Source organism: Homo sapiens, chromosome 9 (genome assembly GCF_000001405.40).
Source record: "Homo sapiens chromosome 9, GRCh38.p14 Primary Assembly".
NCBI lineage: Eukaryota > Metazoa > Chordata > Mammalia > Primates > Hominidae > Homo > Homo sapiens.
Genome location: NC_000009.12, coordinates 18632585 through 18647754, shown reverse-complemented (window position 1 = coordinate 18647754; position 15170 = coordinate 18632585). Strand labels below are relative to the sequence as shown.

Genomic DNA, 15170 nt, shown 5'->3' with positions numbered 1-15170 from the left:
CTGTCTCTCAGACCACAGTGCAATCAAACTAGAACTCAGGATTAAGAATCTCACTCAAAACCACTCAACTACATGGAAACTGAACAACCTGCTCCTGAATGACTACTGGGTACATAACGAAATGAAGGCAGAAATAAAGATGTTCTTTGAAACCAACGAGAACAAAGACACAACATACCAGACTCTCTGGGACACATTCAAAGCAGTGTGTAGAGGGAAATTCATAGCACTAAATGCCCACAAGAGAAAGTAGGAAAGATCCAAAATTGACACCCTAATATCACAATTAAAAGAACTAGAAAAGCAAGAGCAAACACATTCAAAAGCTAGCAGAAGGCAAGAAATAACTAAAATCAGAGCAGAACTGAAGGAAATGGGGGAAAAAAAACCCTTCAAAAAATTAATGAATCCAGGAGCTGGTTTTTTGAAAGGATCAACAAAATTGATAGACCACTAGGAAGACTAATAAAGAAAAAAAGAGAGAAGAATCAAATAGATGCAATAAAAAATGATAAAGGGGATATCACCACCGATCCCACAGAAATACAAACTACCATCAGAGGATACTACAAGCACCTCTACACAAATAAACTAGAAAATCTAGAAGAAATGGTAAATTCCTCGACACATACACTCTCCAAGACTAAACCAGGAAGAAGTTGAATCTCTGAGTAGACCAATAACAGGATCTGAAATTGTGGCAATAATCAATAGCTTACCAACCAAAAAGAGTCCAGGACCAGATGGATTCACAGCCAAATTTTACCAGAGGTACAAGGAGGAACTGGTACCATTCCTTCTGAAACTATTCCAATCAATAGAAAAAGAGGGAATCCTCCCTAACTCATTTGATGAGGCCTGCATCATCCTGATACCAAAGCCGGGCAGAGACACAACAAAAAAAGAGAATTTTAGACCAATATCCTTGATGAACATTGATGCAAAAATCCTCAATAAAATACTGGCAAACCGAATCCAGCAGCACATCAAAAAGTTATCCACCATGATCAAGTGGGCTTCATCCTTGGGATGCAAGGCTGGTTCAATATATGCAAATCAATAAATGTAATCCAGCATATAAACAGAACCAAAGACAAAAACCACATGATTATCTCAATAGATGCAGAAAAGGCCTTTGACAAAATTCAACAACCCTTCATGCTAAAAAGTCTCAATAAATTAGGTATTGATGGGACGTATCTCAAAATAATAAGAGCTATCTGTGACAAACCCACAGCCAATATCATACTGAATGGGCAAAAACTGGGAGCATTCCCTTTGAAAACTGGCACAAGACAGGGATGCCCTCTCTCACCACTCCTATTCAACATAGTGCTGGAAGTTCTGGCCAGGGCAATTAGGCAGGAGAAGGAAATAAAGGGTATTCAATTAGGAAAAGAGGAAGTCAAATTATCCCTGTTTGAAGATGACATGATTGTATATCTAGAAAACCCCATTGTCTCAGCCCAAAATCTCCTTAAGCTGATAAGCAACTTCAGCAAAGTCTCAAGATACAAAATCAATGTACAAAAATCACAAGCATTCTTATACACCAATAACAGACAAACAGAGAGCCAAATCATGAGTGAACTCCGATTCACAATTGCTTCAAAAAGAATAAAATACCTAGGAATCCAACTTACAAGGGATGTGAAGGACCTCTTCAAGGAGAACTACAAACCACTGCTCAAGGAAATAAAAGAGGATACAAACAAATGGAAGAACATTCTATGCTCATGGATAGGAAGAATCAGTATCATGAAAATGGCCATACTGCCCAAGGTAATTTACAGATTCAATGCCATCCCCATCAAGCTACCAATGACTTTCTTCACAGAATTGGAAAAAACTACTTTAAAGTTCATATGGAACCAAAAAAGAGCCCACATCGCCAAGTCAATCCTAAGCCAAAAGAACAAAGCTGGAGGCATCACACTACCTGACTTCAAACTATACTACAAGGCTACAGTAACCAAAACAGCATGGTACTGGTACCAAAACAGAGATATAGATCAATGGAACAGAACAGAGCCCTCAGAAATAATGCTGCATATCTACAACTATCTGATCTTTGACAAACCTGAGAAAAACAAGCAATGGGGAAAGGATTCCCTATTTAATAAATGGTGCTGGGAAAACTGGCTAGCCACACGTAGAAAGCTGAAACTGGATCCCTTCCTCACACCTTATACAAAAATTAATTCAAGATGGATTAAAGACTTAAACGTTAGACCTAAAACCATAAAAACCCTAGAGGAAAACCTAGGCATTACCATTCAGGACATAGGCATGGGCAAGGACTTCATGTCTAAAACACCAAAAGCAATGGCAACAAAAGCCAAAACTGACAAATGGGATCTAATTAAACTAAAGAGCTTCTGCACAGCAAAAGAAACTACCATCAGAGTGAACAGGCAACCTACAAAACGGGAGAAAATTTTAACAATCTACTCATCTGACAAAGGGCTAATATCCAGAATCTACAATGAACTCAAACAAATTTACAAGAATAAAACAAACAACCCCATCAAAAAGTGGGTGAAGGACATGAACAGACACTTCTCAAAAGAAGACATTTTTGCAGCCAAAAGACACATGAAAAAATGCTCATCATCACTGGCCCTCAGAGAAATGCAAATCAAAACCACAATGAGATACCATCTCACACCAGGTAGAATGGCAATCATTAAAAAGTCAGGAAACAACAGGTGCTGGAGAAGATGTGGAGAAATAGAAACACTTTTACACTGTTGGTGGGACTGTAAACTAGTGCAACCATTGTGGAAGTCAGTGTGGCGATTCCTCAGGGATCTAGAACTAGAAATACCATTTGACCCAGCCATCCCATTACTGGGTATATACCCAAAGGACTATAAATCATGCTGCTATAAAGACACATGCACACGTATGTTTATTGTGGCACTATTCACAATAACAAAGACTTGGAACTAACCCAAATGTCCAACAATGATAGACTGGATTAAGAAAATGTGGCACATATACACCATGGAATACTATGCAGCCATAAAAAATGATGAGTTCATGTCCTTTGTAGGGACATGGATGAAATTGGAAATCATCATTCTCAGTAAACTATCGCAAGGACAAAAAACCAAACACTGCATGTTCTCACTCATAGATGGGAATTGAACAATGAGAACACATGGACACAGGAAGGGGAACATCACACTCTGGGGACTGTTGTGGGGTGGGGGTAGGGGGGAGGGATAGCATTAGGAGATATACCTAATACCAAATGACAAGTTAATGGGTGCAGCACACCAGCATGCCACATGTATACATATGTAACTAACCTGCACATTGTGCATATGTACCCTAAAACTTAAAGTATAATAATAATTAAAAAAATAAAAATAAAAAAAATAAAATTCCATGGAGATACTGACAAGTGGCCATTCTGATTCCTGCAATATCTTTTTCAAAAAGCAATGCACTGCTTAAATTAATATATAATGCATCCACCAAAAAACTTTTAGAACTAATCAATAAATTCAGTAAAGTTGCAGGATAAAAAAATCAACATATAAACATCAATAGCATTTCTATACACTAATATCAAACCATTCAAAAAAGAAATTAATGAAACAATCCCAGGTATAATACCTACCAAAAACCCCCAATATTTAGGAGTAAATTTAATCAAGAAAGTGAAAGACACTGAAAACTATAAAAGATTGATGAAAAAATTGAAGAAAACACAAATTAATGGAAAGATATCATGTGTTATGAATTGGAAGAATTTATATTGTTAAATGTCCGTACTACCCAACACTATCTACAGATTTAATGGAATCTCCATCAAAATTCCAATGACATTTTTCACAGAAATGGAAAAAAAAACCCTAAAATTCAAATGGAACCACAAAATACCCCAAATAGCCAAAGCAATCTAGAACAAAAAAGAAAAAAGATAAAGGCATCATACGACCTGATTTCAAAATCTACTGAAAAGCTATAGTAATCAAAACAACATGGTACCAGTCTAAAAACAGACACATAGACCAATGAAAGAGAAGACAGCCCAGATGTTAATTCAGAAATTTAAGGCCAATTGATTTTCTGACAAAGTTGCTGCGAAAAGGACAGTAGTGTTTGGAAAAACTTCCATATGTGGAAGAATAAAATCAGACCCGTATCTCACACTATACACAAAAATCAACTTAAAATGGATTAAAGACTTAAGTGTAAGACCTGAAACTATAAAATTACTAGAAGAAAACATAGGTGACAATCTGCAATTGGTCTGGGCAATTTTTTGAATATGACCCAAAAGTACAGGCAACAAAAGCAAAAATAGATAAATGGGATTACATTAAACTAAAAAGCTTCTGCACAGTGAAGGAAACAATCAACAGAGTGAAGAGACAACCTACAGAATGGAAAAAAAATTGCAAATCACACTTCTGATAAGGGGCTAATACCCAAAATATACAAGAAACTCAAACAACTCAATAGCAAGAAAACAATCTGACTGAAAAATAAACAAAGGATCTGAATAGACTTTTCTCAAGAGAAGACATACAAATGGCCAACAGGCATATTTAAAAATGCTCAACATCATTAATCATCAGGGAAAGGCATTCAGTACTATAATATCACCTTACACCTTATAGAATTGCTGTTATCAAAAAGACAAAAGGTAAGTATTGGCACGGATGTAGAGAAAAGGGAACCCTTTGATACTATGGGTGGGAATGTAAATTGATTCAGCCATTGTAGAAAACAGTATAAACATTTCTAAAAAAATTTGAAAAACAGAACTACCATATGATCCAGCAATCTCACTCCTGGGTATATACTCGAAGGAAATGAAATCAGTATGTTGAAGAGATATCTACACTCTCGTGTTCACTGCAGCACTAGTCACAACAGCCAAGATGTGAAATCAACCTAGGTGTTCATCAACAGACAGATAAACAAAATGTAATATGTATGCACAATGGAATACTATTCAGCTTTGAAAAAAGAAGAAAATCCCGTCATTGTGACAATGTGGATGAACCTGGAGAACATTATGTTAAATGAAATAAGCTAGGCCCAGAAAGACAAATACTGCGTGATATTAATAATACTTCTGTGTCAAATCTAAAACAATTGACCTAATAGAAACACAGAGTAGAATATTGGCTACCAGGGGGTTGGGGTGGAAGTGAACTGTGGGGGAAATGTTGGTCAAAAGATACAAAATTTCGTTAGGAGAAATAAGTTCAGGAGATCTACCTACAACACGGTGGCTGCAGTTAATAACAATGTATTGTATTTGTGAAAGTTGCCAAGAGATAGATTTTAAGTGTTCTCAACACAAAAAATTGATAAATATGTGAAGTAACACATATGTTAATTAGCTCAGTTCAGCTGTTCCCCAAAGTATACATATTTGAAAACATGTTGTATATGATGAATCTAGTTTTTACTCATTAATTAAAAATTAATTAATAAAAATTAAAAGAGAACTTGTTTCAATTACACTGTTTTAAGACAATGTCCACATCTCAAAAATAAAATCCTGCCATGCCTTGAAGAAAAAAAAATCTTCAGATAGCTGTTGGATAGCTCTCTGTGAAGACCCAGATAGTCATGGCCTCTGTGTAAGCACCACACTGATGGCTTTCTGCTGTATGTTTGGTTTATTCCACTTTCTGAATCACCTGACTTCATACCACCAGATCACCAGGGTAATGACCCCATCTCAAGGATGATGCTATTTTGCTGATTGTGAAGATGGATTTTGGTGTTTCTAATGACGTTTGTCAAGGTGAGGTTGGTTTGAGACTTAGGTACATGGCCATTTAAATCTATAAAGAGAATTTGATTAATCAACTATACATATGTATTATATATATAATGCAAAAGAGACTATACTTTGAATGCTACTGAAAGCTTAATTCATATGATATATATAATTATAAAAGCTAAGTCATGAAAACTGATAAATAATAGTAATATCTTGTTTTCAGCTATTTCTCTGAGGAAAATTAGGGAAGAGAAAGTTGTTTCATTACGAAGTACTAGAAAAAAGATAATTTTCTTCTTTTTTTCTGTACGTACTTCAATAATCTGGCTCCTTTTAAAGTTTAAGCAAACTAATTTAAGAATTACATAATCTATCTTAGAATAACTTTACATTTATTTGATTCCCAGTGTTTTCTAAAGAAACACTGAAGAAAAAGATATATACTCTTAGAAGCAACACAAAATATTAAAAGCGTTCTGGACCAGAAGTAAAGAGATGTGATTTTCAGTGCTGGCTTCCCATCAGTGTGAACTCAGGCAAGTCACTCAACTTTCCTGAAGCTAAGTTTCCTTGTGGGTATAATAGAGATGTCAGCATCTGCTCTATTTAAACAATTGTTGTGTGGCAAAAATTCTTTATTTATCCAGCAGTTGTTAGTGCTTATTAGGTTCTTCTTATGGAGATATGAAGACAAATACAATTCAGTTTCTTCTCTCAAGGAACACAGAGGTGGGGAGATACAGACAGAAATTTGGGGTAGAGTCAAAGAATACTCCTGGAAGGAGGAGATCTTGAAGAAGAAATAAGAGGTAGTGAAGAGAATGGAAGAAGACAAGATAAGAGCATTCCAGGTAGAGGGCACAGCATCCTGCAAAGGTAATGAGTTATGAGAGTGTAAGGTGCTGGGGGACCTGCCCGGCATTCAGGTCTGAAACAGAAGGGGAAAAGTCAAAGGTGAGATTGGAAAGGTGGGCACAATCCAGCTAAACCAGAGTAGCAGATACTGTGGCTATGGATTTGTCTTCTAACCTAGAGGCAATGAGTGAAGGTGAGGGGTTATGAAGGATTAGGAAAGGGATTTTAGGAAACGCACTCTGAAGGTAACATAGGCAATGAAATCAGAGGCTGGTAAACTAGCTCAGGGTCCATGGTACTAGTTCAGATGAGAAAAAGTAAAGGCCTGCGCTAACGCAGTGGCAGCAAGGATGGAGGAGAAAAACCAATGTTGAGAGATAGTTTGGATGAAGTCTGACCGGTGGCATATAGAAGGGAAAATCAGGGTGAATCAAAGGTTTCTGATTTGCCTGGGCAGACAGTGTCTTCATTTATAAGATTAAAAAAATAAAGATGATAAAGCAGGTTTCTGGGGCTCAAGTTAAACTTACGCATGTCGGGCTTGTTGTGCCTATGGGTTATTCAAGCAGTGATGTGCAGAAGGCAACTGGATAGATGTAACACATTTGACAATGCTGTGAGCTGTTCCAATGTAAGCAATATTGCTTGAATCCAGTTATATAATTTCAGTATGTGTATTAACTCTCACAAGGCCACTAGGGAAATTACTATAGTATACTTGGTCTATTTAATGGTACTCCAAGGGCTTCAAAGAATAAAGACATCTTTCACTTCTTTACTGGATTTTCTTGCTTAACAGAAATCATTTAACTACCTACAGCATCATTTCTATTGTGAGCTACCTCGGATGGCTTGTAGCTTCTTGCTCACGTTCATGTGGCTGGCGTCTGGACTGGATTAAAAAGAACTACCATGCAGATGGAGACGGAGGACAGTATTCTGGAACCTTTCTCCCTCTAACCTTACTGCCTATTGCATTTTCCTATATGCATTCTTACTTCCAGCTGCCATGGGGTCATCAAGCTTTAGCTTAAATCAAATGTCCTCTGGCTCCAGGTCCCATGATGAAAAATTTATGGAGTCCTGGACACATTACAAGTTTTACAGCTTTACAGCTGAAATCCTTCAGGTGCTCCTGACCTACTGAAGGAAAAAATATGTTTTATTTTATTGTGATTCCCAAAAGTTCTTCTAGTGTGTGCACTTTTCCAGCAGAATGTGCATGTTGCTTCCAGCAATGTGTTTTATATTACCTTGAAGACTAGGGAAGCTCTGATAGAAGGAAACAACTTAGTTTTCTTGCCAGCACAAAAGAAAACAGAGCTTGCCATTGGAAGAATGATCAGTTGACCAAGATGATGGATAATTAGTTTGTTTTTCTCTTTTACTGAGGATAGCCTATATAAGTCAATGACTGTATCCAAACTATTTTAAAAACAATCTATAGCCACCAACTTATGATACATTGGCCTCTTAGGTGGGGTTATTTTATTAATTACATAATAAAGATTGTATTAATTATATAATAAAGATTTTCTATGACCTTGAAATATCATATGTCCTCATAAGGTCCAGGATGCAGCTAGCTCAACACCCTCAGATTAAACATTTCCTGGGTAACAAACGGGCTTTCCAAACATATGTCAGAACCAAAAATCGCTCTCTGCTCAGGAAATTATAAGTAACATCATTTGGGATGTGGCTTGAAAAGGAGGTATCTAAATAGGGCTCACCTTGACAATGAAATCTGCTGTGAGTGGTCCAGCCATTCTCAGTATCTCTTTGTCTGGAAATTTCTGGAAGTCCACACTAGAATTGTCCACAAGGAAAGTTCCTGTGGAGCTGAGACTGTTTTCACCTTTAGTCCCCTGGAGGGTTTTGGTTTCCAGATCTATATGATCAAACACGTGAAGATGAGAGAAAGATGTTCCTAGGGCAACCACAGGCAAGCACATTTCATGCAACAATGTTTAGAGCTAGGTAAGGGAGACACATCATTCTTTATATAGCTGACAAAATTGAAATTGTGATATCAACAAACTATACAGGCACTGCTGAGTCACATAGGAATTTATGCTGGAGTTGAAATTATTTCAAAAGTCATTAGCCAGGCATTCAAGGGTTCCTGTCAAAAAAATCTTTGACTCTCCAGATGATGTTATTTGGGCATCCCGCTTTACTGCAACCCTATTCCTTTGACTAAACCAATTCTCATATGTCTCTTTTTGACTTCAATCTTGATGGCCCTCAGCCTAGGATACCCTCCAGTTTTCTTTTTGCTCTACAAGATCCAGGGTGTATCTCTGAGTTGCCTCAGTACCCGTATGACTTTATATTCGTGCATTAGCCTGTGTTTATTTATACTTTCTGGTTACTTACTGCACTGATGCTATTGCTCAAAATGAAGAAACGATAGTGATGTAAGAACAAGAACTATCATTTTCAGTATTTTCTTTTTAAAATCCATTTTGATACTTAGTTCAGCTTTATGCATATATAAGGTATTTCATAACTGCTTGAGATAGAAAAAAAACCTTGATTTCTGGAGCATTCAAATCCAGATTTGGCCAATGACAAAGCCTATGAAGCATGTTTTGTTGTAGAAAATCAGAGCATGCTGGGGATGATGGTAATTATGTTGTGTGATTCAGAGAAGACTAAGTTCTCATGTGACTGAGGGGTGATTTAGAACAACTGTCTGTTATGTTGCACGAAGAAAGATGGATGGACTAAGGCTAATGGGTTCCAAAACTTGACAAGAACGTTTGGTTTTGGCAGAGATTCCTCAGCAGAAAAATGGAGTGCTTGGATGGGGCTCTGGGTTAAAACAATTTTAAGGTCTCTGGAGGCACTCAAGTACCTAAAGTACTTGTATTACATTATTGTAGAGGGGGTCTACTTGTAGTTCTCTATTGCAAAGAATATCAACAAGTGGAAAACCTTGGTGTTCAATTAAATGCCCAGTGATTCTCAAATGAAGTCTGTGGAGACTTTCTTCTGGAGTAGGCCAGGCTTCACTCCCTTGCCCCAGAACAGAGGGGATCCCACCGAAAAATACAGGGCACATTAAAGGAATATTGCAGGGAGGAAATCACGTTGTTGTCATCAGGGGAAAGCAACTGCACTAAATCTCCTTCCTCCAGCCTTCATTCCTCAAACTGCCTCACAGGCACTTGTAGAAATATTTCTAGGACATCAATTAACTTAGTTTTGGGAAAATCTTGCAGTTGTAGGCCTGATCTGAGCATCTGATTCCATTTTATCAAGAGGCTTACAGCTGTCCTTCTCAAGGTACCTCTAATTAAAGATGAGCCAAGGGGGCAGACTAGATTGCCTCATCTTATTCTGGTTTGGTCCAAAATATTTAAGGTTGGTTTCACACTGTACCAGCTTCTGGGAGTGAAGAGCAAAAGAGAAACAGGGTATCTTTCACTCCCACATTCATTTTGCTGAATTATATTTCAAATACAAAAAAAGAACACACAAGGAAAAATGATTTAGCTATACATATGCTACCAATAGTATGTTTGTTGGGAGAAAAAAGCAGGTTCCAGTTTGCTTTTCATCAAATCTTTAGGATAATTAAATCACACAAGGCCAATTCTTCAGCTTCTTTGTGATCACATAATTATGAAATCTATGAGACTAATACATTTATAAAAATAAATTTCCCTCTTAAATCTACTCCTATGGGTTCTTTCTTCCGCAATGAAGAGTCAGTCCCCCACTTGGTGATGTTCTTGGCCTGAATATTTTATTTCAGTATCTGTTACTGCTCACAAAAGTACTATTTTTGAGTGGAGAGTTAGTTGAGTGGAGAGTTAGTGGACAGTTAGCCCTCTCCAGTTCTCAAATGGGGAAAAATGAATCATTTGAGTGGTAATAATACACACACATACATTATCTTTTGACATGTGAACACTGTATTTTACAGGGTTGTTCAGGATTAGAAACAAACTTGAATCCATAGAAGGTGACTTAATCATCATTTTCTGGTTTTGCCTGAACTGTACCTTACTTATTCTTTTACTTCACAAGGCCTTTCAAATCCCACCTCTTCCATGACATGTATTTATTTTTATATCTAGAAAGACTACTGTAGGCTATCTTGACTTTTATGGGCTTCAATTTGTCTTCCTCTTGTTTGCCTTTTTAGCGTGATTTCATTCATAATCCAACTACTAAAAAATACTACTTGCTATCTAAATTGGTTTCACAGGCATTTGTGTGGGAGGGGAGAAAGGACAGACGATAGATGGCTTTGTGGAAACCCAGGAACAATCACAGTGGAGGAAATCAGAAATGCTCAAGGAACCAACTGAAGTGAAGCCTTTCAGTGAAACTGAATTTTACAGAAAATGCTACCATATCCCCTCCCATCCTCTTCTTTGTTTATAGCCTATAATTTTCTTCTTGTAATTTACAGGTCTGTATCTAAACAACACTAAATAATAAGAAATAGGTGGCTCTGTACTGCTGCCTTGGCATGATTGAAGATCAATTTTTGCACAAACCCTGGAGGAGCCATGCTGCCATTTGATCTTTGGGGTTATGATTACCATTCAATCCTGAATCCCAGTAGCTATCTTTAAGATATGAGGTCCCTGAATTTTCTTTAAAACATGGGATGCTTAATTACACCATGATGGTTTTCTTTAAATTCTACAGTGTTAAGGTTGTTTGGTGTTTCTATGTTCCTCTGGATTGATGGAAGTAATGAAACATGAAAGTAGGTAGAAAAAGAGAATAAAGGAAGAAAAGAGAAGTGGGTTAGAAGAAAGAAGAAAAAAGGAGAGGCAAGGCAAAAAAAGATTGAGATTGGAAAGGAAGAAGAAAGAGAATGAGATATAACACTCGCAAGAGCATAAACATGTGCTTAACCCATGAACAACCCATTGGGAGCATCTATTTTGTATTTTTCAGGATGACTGTGGTTAAAGATAATTACTACAGGGGTTTCTGCCATCTCATCAGGCAGCTAAAAGATAAACAGAGGTACTCAAAATATCATATTATGATAGAGTAGAAAGATTTGTATTCTTGTGTTTTAATCTTTTCTGGGAAGACAAAATAAATAATAATGACTACAATTCCCAATTCCCAAAGGAAAACAATGGAGTTACTTACATAAGTGATCAGGACCTTTTAAGACAAGGCGAATATGTCTACTTCCATAGGGAATTGCAACCACAGTATCATCCGCTAGAGAGAAACAAAGCAAAATCTTAAAAGCATGTCACTTGACACAAAATTATTGATTGCCTTCTAAATAAAGGCACTGACTTCCATACCTTAAAAACTACAGTTTTTTTAAGTGTTTGAAATGTGAAGGCCAATATTTAGAAATCAACATTTTCACTTTGCTCAAAATAAAATATGCCAAAGATGCTAGTCACTAGTTAACTCCTAGAGGATTTGGCCTTTTAAAAAATAGGAATTTTGATATACTGAAAAATTGGTTTGCAAGTTTTCATTTTCGATTTTAAAATCTGGTCTTATATGATCAAAAACACTTGGGCTGAATTAAAACATAAAAATACATTATAATGTTTAAAGGATGAATTTATTACATCAAAATCTGGACTTCTCTCCAGCAGAGTATCTTGGATGAGTAGAACAGGTAAGAGAAGTGGAAGATATATTGGTATGCGCTGAACACCCCAGGGGCAGAAATCATGCCTTCTAGTTCTTAAATATCCTTCACAATATCTATTCCTAATACTATATGTAGTGAGCACCCCATAAGTGTTTCTTAACATTTCTCTACACTATACTCTATTTTAAAATTTTTTTTTAGAAATTGACTGAACCACAGATCACTTTATAATAGATTTCTTTTCACTCTATTTATAAATTGAGCTTAAATTCATTAGACACAGACATTTTTAAAAATTAGAGCTATATTACATGCATCTCAAATACCATCACAGGCATTCTTATTCAGAACTCCATTTGTAATGACAGTATCTTATATTTTTATGGTACTGCAGAGGTTAAATTTCACCTAAATTATACTATTTACTCCCTCACCCAAAACTTCTGACATTGGCACAGAGGATTTTCTGATGAACAAATGAAATTTCTGGGAAGTACAATGCATAGTCCAAGATCAAATGGATAGAAAGGCACTTCAGAAGACAAGAGAAAGGCAGGTTTTAAAATATTTACCAGCATATTCAGAAGCCCTGTGTGATTCTTTGTTCATACTTATCTTTTTTATTTAATATATATATATTAAATATATATTTACATACATATTTATATATATAAATATATATATATATATTTACATATTCTTTTTTTTTTTTTGAGGAATCTCGCTCTGTCACCCAGGCTGGAGTGCAGTGGTGTGATCTTGGCTCAACTGCAACCTCTGTTTCCTGGGTTCAAGCAATTCTTCTGCCTCAGCCTCCCAAGTAGCTGGGATTATAGGCGCCCACCATCACGCCTGACTAATTTTTGTATTTTTAGTTGAGATGGGGTTTCACTATATTGGCCAGACTGGTCTCGAACTCCTGACCTCATGATCCGCTCACCTCAGCCTCCCAAAGTGCTGGGATTACAGGCGTGAGCCACTGCACTCAGCCCTTATTATTATTTTGAGATAGGGTCTCGCTATCACAGTGTGATCACAGCTCACTGCAGCCTTAGCTTCCCGGGCTCAAGAGATCCTCCTACTTCAGCACCCCAAGTAGCTGGGACTGCAGGTGCACACCACTACGCCCAGATGGTTTTTGTAATTTTGTAGAGATGTGGTTTTGCCATGTTGCCCACGCTTGTCTTGAACTCCTGAACTGAAGAGATCCACCTGCCTCGGCCTCCCAAAGTGCTGGGATTGCATGGGTAAGCCACTGCACCTGGCCTGTTCAGACATATTTTTTTTTAACAGTGTACATAATTATCCTATCATTGGAAGGATTTAGGTTAAATAAGATAATCCCAATTGTTACTCAATTTCTCTGAACCTTAATATTATCATCCTATCTTTAGGAGAATTTAGTTTAAATTAGTGAATCTCAGAAGTTACCTGACTTCTCTGATCTTCAGTTTCCTCATTTGTAAAACAGGGAAAACAAAACTTGCCTTATACTATTGTCGTGACTAGATATAAATATAGACATGAATCTAGATATAGGGATGTATAGCCTGGAACACAGTAAGTATTCTGTAAACATTATTTTCCTCTCTCTACCCCAAATCTCTTAAAGGACAGGGATTGAAAAACTATTTTTTTTTTAAATAGTGTTTCAACTCTCCAAGGCCCCTAGCACATTATCTGTTGAATGAGAAAAAAGAATCATATGCTCCCAATTCCTTCCCTGGAGAGGTTACATTATCGAGTTCTCTACAAAGTTGAATATTCCACTCATGACAAAATCTTATAGCTGTTTTTAATGTCATACATTGTTGAATTTCAGAGAGCTAAGAATTTGTGGTATATAAGAACAACAACAGAAAAAAGTGTAAGGGGAATATAGAAAAGGAACCAAAAAAAAAAAAAAAAAAGTTAAGATTAGGCCTACAGAGCTTCTTTGGTTTGTTTGTTTTTTGAGATGGAGTCTCACTTTGTTACCCAGGCTAGAGTGCAGTAGCATGATTGTGATCTTGACTCACTGCAACCTCCGCCCCCTGGGTTCAAGTGATTCTCCTGCCTCAGCCTCAAGTAGCTGGGATTACAGACTTCTGCCACTGCAGCCCGGCTAATTTTTGTATTTTTAGTAGAGACGGGGTTTCACCATCTTGGCCAGGCAGGTCTTGAACTCCTGACCTTGTGATCCACCCACCTCGGCCTCCCAAAATGCTGGGATTACTGGAGTGAGCCACCACACCCGGCCGAGACTGGGCCTACAGAGCTTTAAACGCCTTGCATAAAGACATGACTTTTTAAGTTTGCAAAAGAAACTCAAAGCAGTTAAAACAATGGGACTTTCTAGAAATAGAAAGTCTTTGTTTACCCACAGTTCAAATAAAGTGCAAGTAAAAGGAAAGCTTTCTGTTTGGCCCTGCCATGCTCAGCAGCAGTCTTCTGACCCACACACAGCTCATGCAGCCTCCCTCTTGCTCTGCTGGGAAGTGACTCACATTCCATAAACTGGAACATTAATACCCTAGCTCTTGGCTGATGCTGTAATATCTGTATGTTCCCTAAAGAAGACAGGGTGTGGTAACATTAGCATGCACCCCCAAAAAAGAGAGGAGAAGAACCTCCTAGAAAGTTGTTGAGGAAGAGGGTATATGGAGAAAGTAGACCAGGTGAAATAGTATTTCCTGATGCCCCTTGCACTCACCTAGTCAAAGAGAAATGAAGCAAGTCAGGCTGGTACAAACTCTAGCAGTTGGCAGCACATGGCACAGAAGTAGGAAGAGCCACAGCCTTCTCTTATATATTATTCTGAAAAGGGCTGATGGACCCCTGGCCAGACATTAAACGATCTGCAAATTCATTACTTTATTCCACAAGTATTTTTTGAGTGTCTTTTAGTGTCAGGCTCCATGCTAGGTACTAGGGATTCAGTGACAAAGAAGATAAACAAAGCACTAGCCCCACGAGATGGTCCTG

At 37.4% G+C, this 15170-nt stretch overlaps 1 protein-coding gene across 16 annotated transcripts in view; it reads right to left on the bottom strand.

Annotated features, from left to right (window-relative positions):
- The window catches only part of ADAMTSL1 (ADAMTS like 1), a 1004318-nt gene that overhangs the window by 263196 nt on the left and 725952 nt on the right, over nucleotides 1–15170 (bottom strand). For all 16 annotated transcript variants that reach the window (XM_011518064.4, XM_017015312.3, XM_011518063.3 and 13 more), the window contains 2 exons: nucleotides 11738–11812; nucleotides 8344–8501 (listed from right to left, as the gene is read on the bottom strand). In XM_011518064.4, coding sequence (XP_011516366.1) covers nucleotides 8344–8501; nucleotides 11738–11812 — 233 coding nt within the window. The remainder of the gene's footprint in view (nucleotides 1–8343; nucleotides 8502–11737; nucleotides 11813–15170) is intronic.